At 51.5% G+C, this 18,943-nt stretch overlaps 1 protein-coding gene and 1 long non-coding RNA gene across 5 annotated transcripts in view, besides 2 other annotated features; one reads left to right on the forward strand and one right to left on the reverse strand.

Annotated features, from left to right (window-relative positions):
- Positions 7,113–7,632: an enhancer, noted in NCBI's record as "H3K4me1 hESC enhancer chr9:124573577-124574096 (GRCh37/hg19 assembly coordinates)". NCBI's record gives its function as "activates a minimal SCP1, AML or CMV promoter by ChIP-STARR-seq in primed H9 embryonic stem cells {active_cell/tissue: H9 hESC(primed)}" and the evidence as "EXISTENCE:reporter gene assay evidence [ECO:0000049][PMID:30033119]".
- Positions 8,451–8,997, forward strand: LOC107987125 (uncharacterized). The gene is made up of 2 exons (XR_007061756.1): positions 8,451–8,540; positions 8,869–8,997. It is a non-coding gene; the product is annotated as an uncharacterized LOC107987125 (long non-coding RNA).
- Positions 8,998–11,488: 2,491 nt separating this feature from the next.
- Positions 11,489–18,943, reverse strand: part of TTLL11 (tubulin tyrosine ligase like 11) — a 277,635-nt gene continuing 270,180 nt past the window's right edge. For 3 of the 4 annotated variants that reach the window (XM_047422825.1, NM_001139442.2, NM_001386833.1), the window contains one exon: positions 11,489–18,694. In XM_047422825.1, the coding sequence (XP_047278781.1) occupies positions 18,402–18,694 (293 nt within the window). In that variant the 3' untranslated portion in view covers positions 11,489–18,401. The remainder of the gene's footprint in view (positions 18,695–18,943) is intronic. The other variant, XR_001746188.2, reaches the window with a different exon arrangement.
- Positions 12,361–13,157: an enhancer, noted in NCBI's record as "NANOG-H3K27ac-H3K4me1 hESC enhancer chr9:124578825-124579621 (GRCh37/hg19 assembly coordinates)". NCBI's record gives its function as "activates a minimal SCP1, AML or CMV promoter by ChIP-STARR-seq in naive H9 embryonic stem cells {active_cell/tissue: H9 hESC(naive)}" and the evidence as "EXISTENCE:reporter gene assay evidence [ECO:0000049][PMID:30033119]".

Below are 18,943 nucleotides of genomic sequence, written 5' to 3' on the forward strand. Positions count from 1 at the left end.
ATGAGTGAGAACATGCAAAGTTTGTCTTTCCGTGCCTGGCTTATTTCATTTAACATAATGACCTCCAGTTCCATCAATGTTGTTGCAAATGACAGGATCTCATTCTTTTTTATGGCTGAATAGTATTCCATTGTGTGTATGTACCACATTTTCTTTATCCATTCATCTGCTGATGGGCACTTAGATTGATTCCAAATCCTGGCTATTGTGAATAGCCATGTTGCAATAAACATGGGAGGGCAGATATTGCTTTGATATACCTGTTTCCTTTCTTTTGGGTACGTACCCAGCAGTGGGATTGCTGCATCGTATGATAGTTCTACTTTTAGCTTTCTGAGGACCCTCCTTACTGTTCTCCATACTGGTTGTACTAATTTACATTCCTACCAACAGTGTATGAGGGTTCCCTTTTCTCTCCACATCCTTGCCAGCATTTGTTATTTCCTGTCTTTTGGATGAAGGCCATTTAAACTGGGGTGAGATTATATATCATTGCAGTTTTGATTTGTATTTCTCTGATGGTATTTTATTTGATTTGTAGCCATTGTAAATCGGATTACTGGTGGTATTTTCTTTGATTTGTAGCTGTTGTAAATGGGATTGCTTTCTTGATTTCTTTATGAGGCTGTTCTGTTGACATACAGAAATGCTACTTATTTTTGTATGTTGATTTTGTATCCTGCAATGTTACTGAATTTGTTTATCAGTTCTAATAGTTTTTTGAACTGCTTAGTTTTTTTCAAATATACAATCATATAATCTGTAAACAAGGATAATGTGACTTTTTCCTTTCCAGTTTGGATGCTCTTTATTTCTTTCTCTTGTCTTATTGCTCTGGCTAGGATTTCCAGTGCTATGTTGAATAACAATGGTGACAGTGGACATCCTTGTCTTGTTCCAGATCTTACAGGAAAGGCTTTCAGTTTTTCCTCATTCAGTATGATACTAGCTGTGGGTCTGTCATATATGACTTCTATTGTGTTGGAGTATGTTCCCAGTTTTTTGAGAGTTTTTATCATGAAAGGATGTTGAATTTATTAAATGATTTCTCAGCATCAATTGAAATGATTATATGGTTTTTGTCCTTCATTCTGAAGATACAATATATTACATTGATTTACATATGTTGAACCATCCTTATATTCCTGGGATTGTAAATGTAGATTTATTTATGCTCTCTGTTATTAGGCTGTGGGGCTCAAATTTTATTCAACCTAGTATAATTATCACCTAACATGATGCTTGGCCTGTGGTAAGCTCAATAAAGGAAAGGCCATATTTCTTAACCACAGAGCAATGAAAGTGGGAATTAATAACAAGAGCTTACCTGCTGCTTAGAAATCTCATCAACAGATGAATGGATAAGGAAAATATGGTGTGTGTATATATATATACACACACACACACACATATATACATATACATATATACAATGGAACACCATTCGGCCATAAAAAAATGAAATCCTATAATTTTTGGCAACACAGATGAACCTGGAGGAAGTTACATTAAGTGAAATAAACCAGGCACAGAAAGACAAATAGTAGTAATGTGTGTTCTCACTCATATGTGGAAGCTAAATAAATTGATATCATAGAGATAGAAAGTTGAATAGTGGTAACCAGAGCCTGGGCAGGGGAGGAGGAAGGGAGGATAGGGAGAGGATGGTTGACAAATACAAAATTACAGCTAGATAGGAGGAATGAGTTCTAGTGCTCACTGTAGGGTGACTGGATGTCATGGATGGAACTGGAGGTCATTATGCTAGATGAAATAAGCCAGGCACGGAAAGACAAACTTTGCATGTTCTCACTCATTTGTGGGAGCTAAGAGTTAAAACAGTTGAACTCATGAAGATAAAAAGTAGAATGACGGTTACCAGAGGCTGGGAAGGGTGTTGAGGGTGAGGGTGGACGGGGCAAGTGGGGATAATTAATGGGTACAAAAATATAGTTAGAAAGAATGAATAAGGCCTAATATTTGATAGCATAACAGGGTGACCACAGTCGACAGTAATTTATATAGTTAACAAGTATTTATTCTATATTTTCAAATAGCTAGAAGAGAGGATTTTGTGTGCTCCCAACACAAAGAAATGATAAACGTTGGAGATGATGGCTGTGTAAATTTCCCTGATTTGATTATTACATTATACACCTGTGGAAATATCAGACTGTATAAATATTATTAATTATTGTGTCAATTAGAAATAAAGAGAAAAGATGAGAGGCCAAAAGTAGATTGAATTATATATAAAATTGTAATAGAATAAAATAAGCATAAAAAGCTTTGCATTGAAAAAAGCTTACCTGCTGCTTGGAAATTCAAAATGCATGTAGAAATGTGTGTGGATGTATGTGCATGTGTATGAGTATATGTGTGTGTGTGGGTGTTTATGTGTGTGGATGTGTGTGTGTGGATTTGTGTGTATATACATATGAGTGTATGTGTGTACATGTGTGAGGGGGGATGTGTGTGTGGATGTGTATATGTGGATGTGTGAGGGTTTCTGTGTGTGGGGATGTGTGTGCATATGTGGATGCGCATGTGCTGTATGTGTGTGTGCTTGTGTGTGGGTGTTTGTGTGGATGTGTGTATATGTGTATGTGTGTGCTCTTTGTGTGTGTGGGTGTGTGGATATCAGTGTCCATGTGGATTGTGTGTGTGTGTGGATGTGTATGTGGATGTGTGTGTTTGTGTGTGTAGGTGTACTTGTGTGTGGGTGTTTAGGTGTGTGTGTGCTCTGTGTGTGTGGGGGTATATGTGTATGAATGAATTGTGGATGTGTGTGAGAGTGTGTGTATATGTGGATGTGTGTGCTTGTGTGTGTGCTTGTGTGTGGGTGTTTGTGTGGATGTGTGTATATGTGGATGTGTGTGTGTGTGCTTTGTGTGTGTATGTTTGTATGGGTATGTGGATGTGGATATGTGTATAAATGTATAGGTGGATGTGTGTGAGGGTGTGTGTGTGGATGTGTGTGAGGGTGTGTGTGTGGATGTGTGTATATGTGTATGTGTGTACTCTTTGTGTGTATGCTTGTGTGTGGGTGTGTGGATGTGAGTGTACGTGTGGATGTGTGTGAGGGTGTGTGTGTGGATATGTGTGTGGATGTGTGCTTGTGTGGGGGTGTTTGTGTGTGTGTATATGTGCCTGAGTGTATGTGCGGATATGTGTGAGGGGGTATGTGTATGGATGTGTGTGTGAATGTGTATCAGGTATGCTAGCTGTGATTAAGGTGTTGTGAGTTGGTGTGGGAAGGCATAGCCTCTACCTTGGGATGCGAGTGGGTATGTACGGATGTGTTTCTGCATGTGGTTCTGTCAAGGTGTGGTTTGTATACCAGCGTGGGCATCTGTCCCATTTAAGTTTGTGAAGAGGCGTGGTAGGTGTGGTGTGTCACCCGCAGTAGGCAGAAGCCAAGGCCTGTGTCTTCCAGGAGGTGCGGCAGAGTCAGCTGGCTGCAATGTGGCCAGGCTGTGGGCTTCCGGGGTTGAGTCCCTCCTGGCTGGCCCATCTATAGCCCTGCCATAGCAGGGGGCAGCGTGGTGGGGCAAGGGACAGGGGACGGGAGGACAGGGGCAGGGTGGCAGGGAGACACAGGGCAGACGACAGGGGTAGAGGCTGGAAGACAGTACAATGACTTGAGACCATCTCTGCAAATTGCACCAAAGTACAGCCCACAGCACCGGGCACCTCTCAAGCTGCAGCAGGGAGTAAGCTCAAGATCCTCCCACTCCTGTCTCCCTGGAGGTTTGAGAAAATAGTCCTGGCAAGGGGAGGGGGCAACATGTTCATTATAGGAAATAAGCAGCACAATTGCATTCTGAGAAATCCGCACAGATTTCAGAGCAGCACGGGGGCTCGCGGGCTCTGCGGGCCGTGGAATTCAATATGATATGCTTCAGCCTGTCAGCTAATGGCCTGCGGCTGGACGCCACGTGACCCAGCCTTCCTGGGGACGTTAAACGATGCTGAAAAGTGGCCCAGATTTATTTATTGGGACAGCGCTCCTGCCTGTGGGTTTGTGGGGTAATGACAAGTTATGAAAACAGGTGTGCGTGAGCAAGGGCGGAGGAGCCGGGGATTCCACACTACCCCAGAGCCTCCCTCCTGGCCCTACTGCTGAGTCTGCTGTGCACTGGGAACATGATGTCCCACCTGGGCGACTCACCTCCCCCTACCCCACCCACAGCATCAGTTTCCCCATCTGTTAAATCCATCCATCCATCCATCCATCCATCCATCCATCCATCCATCCATCCATTATTCCCTCTCACCTGTCATTCATTCATTCCCAGAACACTCCACCTTTTGTGTGCTGAGCCATGTTCTAGATGCACTGATGCAGCTTCCAACACAAATGACTAGGCTCTGCCCTCAGGGAGTTTCAATCCAGCAGGGAGGTGAGATGGCAATTGAACAGCCACTGTGAGAAGTGCTGTCAACCTGGCCTGCTTAAAACCCCTTGAGTGTGTGCCCTTCATCTCCAGGGCCATGCCAAGTTGGAGCTGCCAGCCCTCCCGCCTGGAGCCCTGCACCCACTCCCAGCCCACCCCTCCATGTCCTCGCTTGCCCCATCCAAATTGTAAGCTTGGTTACCTTTAAAAACACAAACCCAATAGTGTCATCTTCTGTGCACTCTCCAATGGCAAAGAGAAAATTTGCAACGGGGCCTGTGGGGCCTGGCTCTTCTCCTGCCAGCCTCCCCCTGCCCCAGGTCCTGGCCCTTCCCTCTGCTGGTAGTTGAGCCCTGCCTGTCCATCAGCAAGTTTCCCTGGCCCTTTGGCTCTGGGCAGGCAGGGGCCACATCTGGTTGTGCCCACACCAGGGTCCTGGGGCCCTGAGCCCCTGGGAGATCCTGATGGCAGAGGTGTTGGTGCCCACCAAGGTCCTCCTAGGATGCCCCTCTGTGAGGGGTCAGGGGCGGGCAGGGAACCTGCTCTCTGGAAAGGCCTCAATTGATAATCTGAAAAGCGCGCTAGACCTTCCAAATAAAAAGGTCTCCACTGCAGACTCGAGAGGCGTGCCATAATTACCTGGGAAGGGCAGGTCAGCTGCATTTTTTCAAATTTGCATTTTACAAAGTGTTTAATGGATATTTATATGAAAGAGCAGCCTATTGGGTAAATGCGTGACTTTAAATTAGGCTGAGGCCTTCCCCGCTCTGCTGTGCTGGCTGAGCTCGGCCATCAGTGGGGCCTTCGGTCCCTCCCTCCCTTATTCCTCCTACATGCAGGTCCTGAGGGCCCCTTCTGCGCCAGGCCCTGGCTGGGGTGGGATCCAGATATGAGGGGGCACAGCCCTTTCTGGGGTGTGCCTGGTAGAGAGTCACCATGAAGTGGCTTAAAGAGACACACCAAGGGGTGGGGGAACCACTTGCAAGAGCGGAGGTGGTGTACACCAACAAGCCCACATGGGGAGGGGCATTACGGGCAGAAGAAGGACCCGGATGCAGTGCTGGCCAGATGACAGAGCAAGGGGCATCTGGGGAGTGGCGAAAAGAGAGAGGAGCCATGAAGGAGTTCACAAGAGCTGGGCAGGGCTGCCTGGTGGGTCCCTGTAGGGGCGCAACTCAGGTTATCCGTGTGTCCCTGTCCTCTGTGCAGAGTGCAGCCTTCACGGCTGCATGTGGTGGTCCTGTTGGTTGGGGAGGGAGGTTGGTCTTGTTGGTGGGGGAGGGAGGAGGCTGGGCCCCAAATGGAAAAGACCCCCCAAACCAGGTGAGGAGTCGAGCTGAACCCCGGTGACGGGAAGCTGTTTTCTATCTGTGTGGGGGTGACACGATCAGTTTGGCATCCCAGAAAGGCTACTCTGGCAGCCTGTGGAGAACGGGCTGCAGGTGGAGAGACAGTTGGCCACCAGAAAATGGCCCATGTAGAATACATGTTTTTAAAAACGATGGCAAAAGGCTAATTCTTTTCATCTGCAAAGATGCTACAAATCAACAAGAAAAGGACCAGTAGAAGAATGGGTGAAGAAAGAGGCTCAACTGCATTCATAATATAAGAAATGAAAATTCAGGCCAGGCGCGGTGGCTCATGCCTGTAATCCCAGCACATTGGGAGGCCGAGGCAGGCGGATCACAAGGTCAGGAGATCGAGACCATCCTGGCCAACACGGTGAAACTCTGTCTCTACTAAAAATACAAAAAAAAATTAGCCGGGCGTGCTGGCACGTGCCTGTAGTCCCGGCTACTCGGGAGGCTGAGGCAGGAGAATCGCTTGAACTCAGGAGGCAGAGGTTGCAGTGAGCCGAGATCGCGCCATTGCACTCCAGCCTGGGTGACAGAGAGAGACTCCATCTCGAAAAAAAAAAAAAAAAAAAGAAAAGAAAATTCAATCTGTGATGAGATGCTGCCATGTTTTTTTATTTATCAACAGGTAAAAGTTGGCATTTTCACAATACGCTGTGCTGGGGAGGGCGAGAATCACAGAGCACTGGCCCTCTCACACATCTGGTGGGGCCAAAAGGTGGTGCAACTTATTTGGAGTGCAATATAACAGCAATATTGATTGCAACTTTAAATACATGCACCCTTTGACCCATTGATTCCAGTTCTAGTACACATTGTACATGCACATAAATGCATGTACCAGGAAGAGTCCTTGCAACACTTTTTTTGTAATAACAGAAAACTAGAAACAATCTAAATGTTACTTAACTGGGGACCAATTAACTACAATATTATACATAACTAGAGTACATCGTATAATGGCATGCCATGACATCATTATAAAATGGAGACCCTGGCCAGGCGCGGTGGCTTACGCCTGTAATCTCAGTACCTTGGGAGGCCAGGGCAGGAGGATTGCTTGAGCCCAGGAGTTCGAGAACAGCCTGGGCAATATGGTGAGACCCCGTCTCAATTTTTAAAAGATAAAAAGAATACGGAATGGGAGTGAACATTTTCTGGCTGGCCCTGAAGCAGAGAGCTCTTTGCCCCTGCACTGAAGGCCCCTCTCTTAATAAGTCTTTTGTCCCCTCCCCACCTGTCAGGCACCAGGTCGCATGCAGCCTGTGAGTGCAGAGAAAGAGCTAACAAGAGTGGCCTTTCTGGACCAAGCTGAAGCCTGGCGCTGCCCGGGCAGCCTCTCTTCCAACCATGGGGTCGGGAGTCCAGGCTTTGGGGCGGCCCCTCTGGATGTCATTTGCTTGCAAGTCGGTGGCCCCAGGTGGTTGCAGCCAAGGGACTTTCTGACCTGCAGTCATGTGGCCAGCTGCTTCCTTCTCCATTCTGTGGGGCTCTGCACCTGCCCTGGCCTCAGAGCTTCTACGGTGGCCATGTGGCCTGGGCAGGGTGGCCTTCTGTGGCCTCGGGCAAGGCGCCTAACTTCTCCAAACCTGTTTCCTCAGCTGTATAAGGGGGGCAATGCCACCTGCCTCTCCATGATGGCTGCGGTGACGCTGGCGCCTGGGACGAAGCTGGTCCTCAGCACACGGTCACCTTTTTCCCCACAAGCCTCCCCTCGCTCATTGCCTGGCCCATTTACCCCAGAGATGGAGGCCATCTCAGTGATCTCAGTGTTGCTCTCTATGTCCCTTCTGCTGTCACCTTGCTGCCAAGCGCAACAGCTCACAAAGGCTGGATCCTCTTGGGCGACCCTGAGGCCTGCCTGCTGTGTGAACCTCACTGAGTTGGGGCGTTTCCTCCAGGACTTTGAGTTCAAAGCTTTGCAGACAGGTTGCTATTCAAGATCTCCCCCAGAGCCTCCACTTCCACATGTGGCCGGCGCCCATTCCCTCTGCAGAGCAGCCTGCTGCTGCAAGGGGGCCTTCAACACCGTGGCACAGCACAGCTGTTTGGAGAGCGGGCTCTGTGAGGCCAAAATCCAAAACCCGCCTGGGCACGGACAACCTGCGCCACCTTGGGCATGCCACTGCACCTCAGCTTTGAACCTCAGCTTCCTCTACTGTAAAGCAAGGTGATAATAGGAGTAACCACTCGAGCCTGTTTCTCAGATTAAATGAACTAACGCCATAATGTGCCCTGCATGAGTCTTGGCCTTGTGTGTGAGAGACCCTAGCCATGAATTGAGAAGGTGCTTTACATTTCCCTACCCCCATTGTCTATGTTAATTGTGACACAACTTCCAGCAGCTACAGGAGCAGCCCGATGTCACAGGGTTCACTGCCTGTGAATCCTTGGCTTTGCACAAGGCCTGCCCTCCTCAGCAAGCAGCAGGGGAGCCCGGCTCATGAACGCAGGGTAGCTGGAGAGGACTTGGCCAGAGCCCCCTCTCTAGGCCACATGGCCCCCGGAGCGTGGTCTCAGTGCTCTGCTCCGGCCTGGGAAGGGTCGGCACTCTTTCTGGGACCTTCAGCCCCTACCCCCTCAAGGGAAAATGTCAGTTGGCTTTGGACTCAGTTTTCCAGGTGATGGGGAAACTGCCCGTGGAGTTTGGAGCTGAGCGGCACCCAGGCCACACAGCCTAGGATTGGCTTTCTTGGTGGGATGGCACAAGATACCCCCTAGCTCCCCTGTGGCTCTGGAGTCAGGAGATCCACGTGACCTCCATCTGCTCCAACTCAACGGAGAGAAGGTGATGGGGGCGGGGGCACTGTGGCGGCTGGGAGAGAACCACAGTCATTTCCTTGGCGCAGCCATTTTATGTGAAGATTGAAGGAGAGAAAAACGTTCTTTTATTGAAACAAATAGGAATTGTGGCAAAAACAATACTATGTGTCCGCCAAATCCCATTTTATTTTTGTCTGTTTGGGTGCCCAGGAAGGGGGCACGTCCCATTGTCCCAGCACTTCTGTCGGGGTCATGGGACTGCGTTCTGGCCAAGGGCTTGTGGGAGGCGGTGGAGTCAGCCCCTCCCTGAACAACATCCCCTGAGGACCCCTCCTGTCCCCTCATCTTGCCAGAAGCAACTGGGAGGCGTGGTTGAGGAGAAAGACCAGAGCCTGTCTGCGAAGAGGCATCCTAAGAGCCAGCAGACCCACGTGAACCTTTGAATTCTCAAGAAATAAACTTCCGCTGTGTTAAGCCACGGAGCCCTGTGGGTTTATCTTTTCAGGGTAGCCTAACCTAGCCTGGCTAATATGCGGATGTCATATAGAGCAGAATGCAGTATTTACAGGACTTTTAAAGCTAAAACAAATGGCTTCAAATAAATGGCTGCTTGTAGCTGGCCTCTCTGGGACATGCTCTCAGACTTCTGACCTGTCAATCTCTGCGGGTCAGTCTCCTCCCAGGATAGCTGGTGATGGATCCAGTGACCCACTGATGCCACCCACCCCCCAACCCCCCGCCGCTGGCTCTGGAAATAGCTCAAAGCAGGTTTATTTAAGTGGTGGGTGAGGAGCTGTGACGGTGGAAATTCTTCAGTGGATCCCGTCATCCACCCTGGGTATCTGATGATTAGCGCCCAGTGACAGGTGAGCCCAGGGCAGGCCTCGGAGGCTTCCAACAACCGTTCTACCAGGGGCGAGAGAAGCCAGGCGATGGACTAGATGTCTGTGTCCCTCCCAAATTCATCTGATGAAATCCTAGCCCCATTTAGGGAGGTGGGGCTTTTGGGAAGTGATTAGGTCGTGAGGGCGGAGCCCTTGTGAATAGGAATAGTGCCCTGGGAAAAGAGACCCTAGAGAGCTGTCACTCTCTTCCTACTGTGTAAGGATACAACCGGTCTGCAAGCCTGGAAGAGAACCCTCACCAGGACCCAACCGTGCAGGGATTGTGATCTTGGACTCACAGGCTCCAGAACTGGGAGAAATAAAATTTCTGTTGTTTATCCACTGCCCAGTCTACAGTACTTCGTTATAGCAGCACAAATGGATTAAGACACCAAGCCAATCTCCGGAGGGGGTTCACAGCTCCTCCCTGGGCCCCAGTGTGAGCCAGCCCAGCACCTGAGCACCGGTGCCAGTATGACATACACTCCAGGGCAGGGCTGGGGGTCCCAGCTGGACTCAGGTGACCTTGGATGAGTTACTTCTCCTGGGCCCCCAGCTTTGTGAAAGCCTGGATTTACCCCACAAGTAAAAAATTGGAAGTGATGATGGCATTTGAAGCTTTTTCCTTACATGCAGCCCCAATATATAAAACAGCTAGCTGAGCTGCTCTAAGGTTTCATGGGATCTAGCTTGAAAACCCCTGGGCCAGAGGCTCTCTTGGGTTCCCTTCTGTAGGTATTTGGCGAGGTGATGGGCTGAGGGTGGTGTTGGCTTCTGCCCCATCCCTCTGATCACACAGGGCAAAACAGGTTCCTTCACTGAAGAGGCCTTAATTCATGTCCTAACTTGCTGGGTATTTGGGGCAAGACCCCTCCCCTCTCTGGGCTTCCCTTGCCTCATGCGTAATATTGAAAGGCAGGCGTCAGCAGCTGCGGATACAACCTTATTGTAAAGCCCGTCACGTCAGAATGGGAAAGCCGCAGTTGCCTGGGTTAAAGACAGAGGTGGGGTCTGAGCCCTGAGGGGATCCTGGGGGGCGGGCAGCAGCGTGAAAGGGCCCTTGTGGCCTCCACAGTCCCCACTCGATCCCCCAAAGACATACCTGGCCCAAGCCAGCCCTAAGCTCTCATGCTGCCCTAGCTGCCTCCCCTCCAGGCTGCAGGGCCTCGGGCAGGCAAACCCGGGGTTCTCCAGCAGAGTGGCACAACAGCTCTGCCACACTGCAGAGCCGTGACCTGTGACACAGGAGCCTGGGACGGAGGTGCTGGTACATCTGAGGAATGTGCAGAATCTGAATGGGTCATCAAAAGGTGAACTGGGATCCAGAGGGCCACAGGGGTTACCCGCGGGAACAGGGCCTGCCAAAGTGGCCTCCCTGGGCGTGGGGGGCTGCGTGAAATGAACATTTCTCTGACGCCAATGGGTGAGGGGATTTCCAGGGAGCTGGGGTCTCACTTTATTTTTAACTCAAGGCCATCTGCTTTCCACTTGCCAAATATTCTTAAATATTCAGAGCAGATATATGCTGCTCCCCAAGGGTAGAAGGGGAGGAGGGGGTGATAGGAGGGGGCAGGGCCTCCGTTCCGAGGGACAGAGCCACCAGCTGGACCAGCAGCCCCAGGAATCACCTCTTTGGTGCAGGATGAATGGTTTAGTTCTCTAGGGAGGCACCTGCCTCTGGCTTCCCCCGTGAGGGTGAAACATGCAATGCTCACCGGTCTAGCCCAAGCCGAGCACTGTGGCCCCTCTTGCACACAGGGAGCTGCAAGGGGGCCATCCTGTCTCCCAGGGCAGCCACAGAGTCTCTCACCAAACTCTAGGGACAGATCCCTCCCTCCATACGGGAAACTGTCCCCAGCAGATCAATGGTTGAAAGATTTTCCAAACCCCTCCCTCTACCTCCCCCAGGATCTCACAGTTTCCTTGAGGCAATATTTAGCTTCCCAGGCAAATACTAAGCTTTAAGGGAGAAAAAAAATTAAAAGGTGTTTTTTTCTCAACAATTGACCCCAAGTGAACAAGTATTGTCCACCGCGGTGGATTTGCTGTCAAAAATTATCATGCAGAACAAACTGTCAATACTTCGCAGTCGTTTATACAATGAGCCTGTGTTTAGCAACACTCAGCTTCGTTTTATTATTGCGTTTTATGAAGTTGCCAAGACAACTGAGGCCAAGTAACAGAACCTTGACTTTATGCGCCATGAAAATTTAATAAAGAATTTTGAAAGGCTTTTTAGAGGCAGGAGCTGCAGTCTCTTAAAGGCAGAGCTCAGCACAGAGCGGAGGGGGCTGGAGCACGTGGGGCCTCTCACCAGACCTCCAGGAGCCTCCGCTGTCAGGGGCGTGGAGGTGGGCAGACGTATTTCCTGGCATCCGTCTTGTTTCCGCACGTCGAGACCCTTCCTTTTCTCGACAGACATGTATTAAGACACTTCCCAGGTGCCAAGTCCCGCACCCGGTTCTTTACATACATTACGACGTGATCCCCACTATCTAGGCAAGGAGCAGGGATCAGAGAGGTAAAGTCACTGGCCCGTGGTCATTTAGGCAGAGCGCAACAGATAGAACAAAGTGCATATGAAGGTCTGACTGCAAAGCCCTCGCTTTTCCAGAACAGTTCACGGCCTCCTCTGGGATTCTCAGCCCTCGCTTTCCCCATTCTGATGCAACAGGTTCTGAAGGGAAAATATCCCTGCGGTCTGCGAGGGGCTTGGGGGAGCAGTCAGTGTTCTGTGGCCCAAGACTGGGTCCTGGTTGGAATCTTAGCAAACACCTTCATGTTGGAGGACATGTTTCCCGTGAGCCTCTTGGTGAGCACAAGACACTACCGCAGGGCTGCAAAGAGCCCTCTCCACTCCGCTCTCTAAATAACACTCGGAAGCCAATCACCAGAAATGAGAAAAACATCGTAATTTTGCCATTTTCTACCAAAGCTCAACGGTGCTCAGTGTGTGTGTGTGCGTGCGCACGTGTGTGCATGCGTGTGCGTGTGTGCATGTGTGTGCGTGTGTGCATGTGTGCATTGTGTACGTGTGTGCATGTGTGGTGTGTGCGCGCACATGCGTGTGTGTGCATGTGTGCGTGTGTGCATGCGTGTGCATCGTGTGTGCGTGCGTGTGTGTGCATGCATGCGCGCGTGTGTGTATAAGCATTATGCTGCGTGGTTTTTCCAGTTATATAAAAATCAAGACTTTTGGCTACTAGAGATAAAGGTAAATGAAGACGTGGCCTATTCTGCAGAGCTCCTTCATCTCCAGGAACAGAAAAAAATTTAGACTTATTTTGTGAGGGAGAAATTCATATGCCATAGGGGAAAATTTCTCTCACATTCATCAAACCAAATGGGAGATTGGCAAAAATATCCATCAAGGTGAGGTGGATTTCAGGTTAATACACACGGTGGTGAATGATCCCTCCGTGCGAGGAGGACAGCGCTCTCAGCCATGGGGAATGCCAGCTCCCTGCCGGGAGAGCCATCATTTCTGAGCTTTCAGGGAAGATGCTCGTGTGCTGGCCATTGCAAGCCCAATTCTCAATTACAGGGCCAAGGAGTAGAGGACATTAGTCAAGAAATGGGGAAAAAATTAAGCTATTCTGGAGGGACACTCTGCCAATCACAAGGCACATTCCGGGTGTCAGAGGAGCAGCAGGAATCATTTCTCAGCCTACGAATGTCTTTAAACATGTGGGAATGAAGGGGAGGTGGGGCGTTGGGGGGAGGGCAGGAGGAGCTGACCAGTGTGGTTTCATCTGTCTTGATGGATAACATTATTCAAGAAAGAGCTTTTACCTTCATCCCTTCACACTTTGTAGGAAGCCAGTAGCCAGGCTGAAGATAACACTACGTTTGAGCAGCGCCTTCGTTTACAAAACACTTTCACATTGATGACATTTTCTGTGATCTCGTCTTATGCTCCCAAAGATCAAGTGAGACAGGACTTGCCACTCTCACTAAGTGGCTGGGAGACCTGGAGCCCTTCCTGGGGTGCTCAGCAGGAGAACAGATCAGAGAGCCTCAAGCTAAGTCCCCAGAACTGAGTGGAGCAAACACCCAGCCTCTGCGGGACGTGGGTTTCCACACCTGCAAAATGGGATGTTTTGGGGAGTGCTGAGGCACCGTGCAGAACCGAGGAAGTGCCGAGGAAGGAGTGTGGGATCTGGAGCCAGCCGGGGGGCTCAGGTGGATCCTGGCTCTGCACTTCACCAGCACGAGACCTCGAGACCTTGGTCAGTCACTAAGCCTCCTGGAAGCCACTTCCCTGCCTGGGAAAACAGAGTGCCAGTGATCCTCATCCTTGGTGGGTTGGATGGATCTAGAAGTGCTTTGTAAACTGTGAAGGATTGAGCATGTGCTGATAAAATCATGCAGGAAAGGGCCTGGGGTCTAGAAAGGCATGGAACACCATTTCAAGTGTCTGGGCTCCTATCCTCCCACTCCATTCCCCTGACTACCTACATGCACATCCGGAGGACCTGCTGGGAACTCAACAACCCCACACAAACTCAGGGCAATGCAGAGTTGAAAGGAGGCTGGCTAGCCGGCTGGAGGGGTGTTGGTGAGGACTGCCCAGCCTGGTGTCCTGTCTGTGAGATTGAATGGGAGGGGGTGCCCATGGGTACGCAGCCCAGGCCTGGCCACAAAGGGCCATGGAGAGACACCTAGAGTCGGAGGAGCTATTATCTGTTTACGGACACAGGACAGCTGCCGTGTCCCAGGGAGCCAACAAGGCAGCCGGGAATGTAGAGGTGTTCAGCGGATCGGCTTGGCAAGGTTTAGAAATCTGTGCTTCTTAAAGGCACCCGCAGGCAAAGTGGAGAGCAAGTGTGGTAACACTGTCTCCTCTCCCGGGTTCTGCTAAACGTTCCTATTCACAGCAAGCACCTGCTGGCCCCTGCTCTGTGCCAACGTGGACCCAGCACATGCCTGACCCTGCAGGAACGCACAGCTGGGTGGGAACCAATGCTGTGGTCCCACAGTGCGCGCGACAAGACAGGAACTTTCCAGTTCTTGGAAGTAGATGGAAGGAACCGCTCACTCTGTTTGGGGGATTGCAGCGGGGACACTGGAACTGAACCTTGAAAGTCTGTTTGCCACTGGGCAGAGGAAGGCCATTCCAGGCAGAGGGGCCAGCAAGACAAGGGTGGTGGGAAATAGCACATCCTCCTCCTGTCTCATGACAACAGATACAAACAGTCCTGGGAGCAGGGGTCGGACAGGGGCTCAGGGAGGCTGCAGAGCCTGGTCCTGAGGTGCAGGGGTCAGGTGCGGGCCTTAGGATGGAAAGAAGGGAAGGGTGCCGATAAGGGCTGCTTTCAATAGGTGACTGGACGTCAGCTCTGTGGCTCTCCAAGTTCCTTCCAGACCTATGGAGATGGAGGGTAGGGTGGAGGGGTGAGAGGCAGGGAGGCAGCGGAAGCCCAGGCGAGAGACCGTGTCCGAGTTTGGGGGACTGGACAGAGGCTGGGAGGAGAAGTAAGAGGAAGCCAGGTGGTTTGTTTTAGGGATGGATGCTGCTCTCTCCTGGAGGCCCTGCCTCTGCCCACTGGGAGGGGTCTGTTGGGACCAGCACTTGCTAACAGCTGCACTGAATCTAGCGGGTCTTTATAAGTATAAGCACCTATTGCAGGCTCCATTTTGGCCAGGCCGTGAGGACAAAGCTCCCGCCCCTAACAACAGAAATGCTGAGCCCGTCCCCCTAGGAGGTTGGAAGGAAGGGAGCAGGCAGTGTCAGCAAGGCAGGAGCAAGGAGGCTGCCCCGGGGCACACCCAAAGAAAGGGTAGGTGGGCCCAGTTCTGTGGGTCTGTCCTGTTCTCCTGATGCTTCCCTCCCCAGATTGGTCCCACTAACTTGTCATACTTGGATGTGAACCCCCCAAACTGAGCACAGGCTGAGCTTGATCTTCTTACCCGTTCATTCCAAGCCCCCGGAGTGCCCAGCTCTCCAGGAACTCAGCCAGCAGACTAGGGAGAGGACTGTGTGTGCATTGAGGGTGGGGAGAGACAGGCGTCAGGAGGAGCGGGAAGGGGCAAGAGAGCGGGAGGGAGAAGACGCTGGAGATGGATCCTGAGGGCGCTTGCAGGGATGGGGCTTATCCTGCAGCAAAGCACAGGGGCTGCCCAGCTATGTGTGCCGTGCCTCTGGGCCAGCCAGACTCCCGGCTCTACTTCCTATCTTCTCGGAGGAAGGAACCATCTGCTTTTGCTATCGTTTCAATTACATCCAATAAAACGAGTGGCCGATTACCAAAGGGGTAAACACAGTGGTGCTTCTTATTAGGAATGGAGGAGGCGGGGTGATTCAGTTATCACTCATTCTGACAATGGAGCAGCCTCGAAATGCTTTCAGTTAAACTGAAAAGGGCCAATCTGTCAGGACTGGCCTCTCATAAAACCACAGCCTCATTTCCCTAACAATCAGCAGGGAGGCTCTGTGCCCTGCGGGTGGGTGGGGCTATCGGGGCCTTGTCTGCAGAGGAGGGGGCTGCTCCCGGGACAGAGGGGCCATGGTGGGCGGAGCAGCCCGCCTCCAGATGATGGCATGGGGTGGGAGAGGCCCTCACCAGGAGAGCTGATGTTTTCATATCACCCCAAACAAGGTGGCTGGAATTCAACCTCTTGATTTTATTTTTCAAAATATTCAATGTGCTTGGTTGGTTTTAGACCTGAACATTGCGCTCCACTTTGGCAAGCGAGTACTTTCTGAAGACCAACTTCAAGAAATGGTGTCACGTGAGAGCTTTGTTAAGACTTCTGGTGGCTCCCAGCTGATGACAAGTGTGCCCAGACATGCTTACTCTGGTCTTTCTCTGGGAAATCCATTTGTTCTGCCAAAGGGGACTGGGAGAGCTGCATGGGGGCTTCAAACATTGTTTCTCACAATGGACCATTTAGGAGCCCTGACTGCCTTGTCCCATGCCACCAGACCATGACGGACCCCAGGCAGCCCCGAGCGGGGTAGCTGCAGGGTCTTTACTTGGAGCTGAATTCATTCTCACCCAGGGACAAGGAGCCAAAGACAGACACACCTGGACCAAGTCCTGACTACATGGCCTCCTGGGCCTTCCTTTCCTCATCTGAAAGGGGAGCAGCATTACAGACCTGCCCTACTACCTGGGGAACTGAGCCGATGACACCTCCACAGTGCCCCATGTAGAGAACACTCGACACACCTCAGGAGGCACATCCTGCCAGTGCCACCTTCCCACCTGTCCTGCCTTCTGCTTGGGAAAATAAAGTGATTGCAGAAGTCTGCTGTCACTCACTGAACACCCCAGAGTGGGCTCTGCAGGGCTCAGTTCCACGGCCCCTCTAGGCTGGGGAAGGGCAGCGGCCTTTGGGCTCTGCTAGCAGCAGGGAAGGGGTGCTGCGCGGCAGCCACACCGTGGGGGAAACAGGTTTTCCTCTTTGAGAGGGTGAACTCCTGGCAGGAAGGAGCTCCAGGCAAGGATGAACAGAGCAGCCCCTGCTCTGAAATCGCTTGCCAACAATTGGAGACATCTTGGATTAACAATCTTGCCTTTGGGTTTAAAAATATCTGGGGAGGGCGGATTCAAGTAACTTGTTTCCACAGATGCTTTTGAGTACCTGTTATGAACCAGGTCAACTGCTCTTATCAGTTTGGGTCAGGAGTCAGGGACAGGATGTTGGAAGGAAGGAGGAGAAAGCTGCAGGAGCTTATTTGGGATGCACCTCTGCCTCCCAGAACCCTCCCTTGCCACGCACTACGAGCATTTTCTGAGTCCTACAGTGCACCACACCAGGCACAGTACTAGCGCCTCAAATACTTTCCTGCACCTCGCTTGGAGCACGATGACTGACTCTTCCCAGGTTCCTCAGCATCCTTTAAAGGGATCCTCCAGGAAAGGGCCACATTAACCCCAAATCCAACCACACTCTGGAGAGCTTGGCTTTGCCAGGTCCTGCCTGCCTGTCTTCAATAGGCCCTGGACCTTGGCATGCCCAAGGCTGTTTCCAAAATGCCACCTTCTGCTGCCTGTGAGGCGTTTCCTCCGAGAGGGGGGCTACCTGGGGATACAGATGGAGACAAGGAAAGGGTCTCATGGAAGACAGTGTGAGCTCCCCTGACCCTGGCACCAGGTCTGACATACACTACTCCTCTTGCTCTGGTTCTTATCCATGTCTGATTTCCTTCCCTCACCCAGGGCTCCCAGCACAGTGCTGGGCATGCAGGGACCCCTGGCAGTGCTTGTTGTGGACACGCTGGCCACATGACCAGCACCCCACCTATGCAGGGGTCCACTCAGACCATCTGGTCAGGGAGGCTAAAGATGGGATTCCTGCTTTGGGGTCACAGTCAAACAAAATCAAACAAAATGATCTCTGAGGCTCCTGCCAGCTCTGAGGCTCCAGGAGTCTTAGTTACTTCTTAATTAATTTTTTCTTAATTAATAACAAACCAAATATTGCAGCAACAGGCAAGCTAATGAACTAAATGAGGTTAATCTGTTCACTACACCCATGTAGCACATGACTGGGATGGGAGATTCGCAGATGCCTACTTGATATTTCCACTTCCTTCTCTCGGAACGGGCGGCAGGAAATAAACACGATGTTCTCAGGCTTTTCCCGGTGGGCGCGTGGAGGCCCCGGCAGCAGATCCTAACACTCGGCTTCCTCTCCACAGCTCCGGGCCTTGGGATCGATTGTGTCCTGTGCCCCAAATACAACAGATTTGCCCCAGTTGGTGCTTCCTGTGAGCCCAGAATAGAAGGTGCCATCTGTCACGTTTTAGATGTCATATGTCCGATGACTGATGACTCAGAAACAGGGTGTATCACCAGGAGGTGTGAGGAGGAAGGCAGGTGAGAACCAGCCAGCCTGGTGAAGCACAGCTCAGCCGCACACAGAGACAGTTCGTGGGGACCTCAGCTGGGCCCCTCGGCAGCCTGCCTGCCATTCCTCTGCAGGCAGAATGCCTGGGGCGCTCCAGCCCTGAAAGCTGCTCTCGTCTTCCGTTTTCCAGGAGGACAGAGTGGCCCTCAGGACAGGGTATGTCTGGGATGGGAGAGCTTATTGGCACAGCTGGTGCGGGGTGGGGGGTTGTCCCCTGCTGGCTGGGCCGAGGGGGAGGGCTCCTGGGGAGGGCCACGGTGTGGGGGCCGGCCCCCCGACGGGACGCCCCGGCCACACACCAGGCGTTTTTCATCCAGCAGGGACAGGTGGTACTCGCAAAGGTCAATCAGTGAGGCCACCTGCTCATGAAGTGGCAGCATCTTGAACTTCCTCTGAGCCAGGAAAAAGAAAGCTTCTACGAAGGCCTGCAGACACATCCCTGTGAACAAAGAGACTGGATGAGGGGGTGCACACAGCTGCCCTACGCTGCCCTGGGAAGGCCCACCTCCAGCCACAAGGATGTCAGCAAGAGCTAGCCCCGCTCCCCACCACCGTCTCCATTCCAGAAACTCCTAACAGGGCTAACTCACTCACAGAGTGCCCACTGTGCCCACCAGGCACTAGCTGGGCATTTTATGGCCATGTGCAGACCAAATCTCTCACACAGACCTATGAAGGAAGTTCGGTT

This window comes from Homo sapiens, chromosome 9 (assembly GCF_000001405.40).
Source record: "Homo sapiens chromosome 9, GRCh38.p14 Primary Assembly".
NCBI lineage: Eukaryota > Metazoa > Chordata > Mammalia > Primates > Hominidae > Homo > Homo sapiens.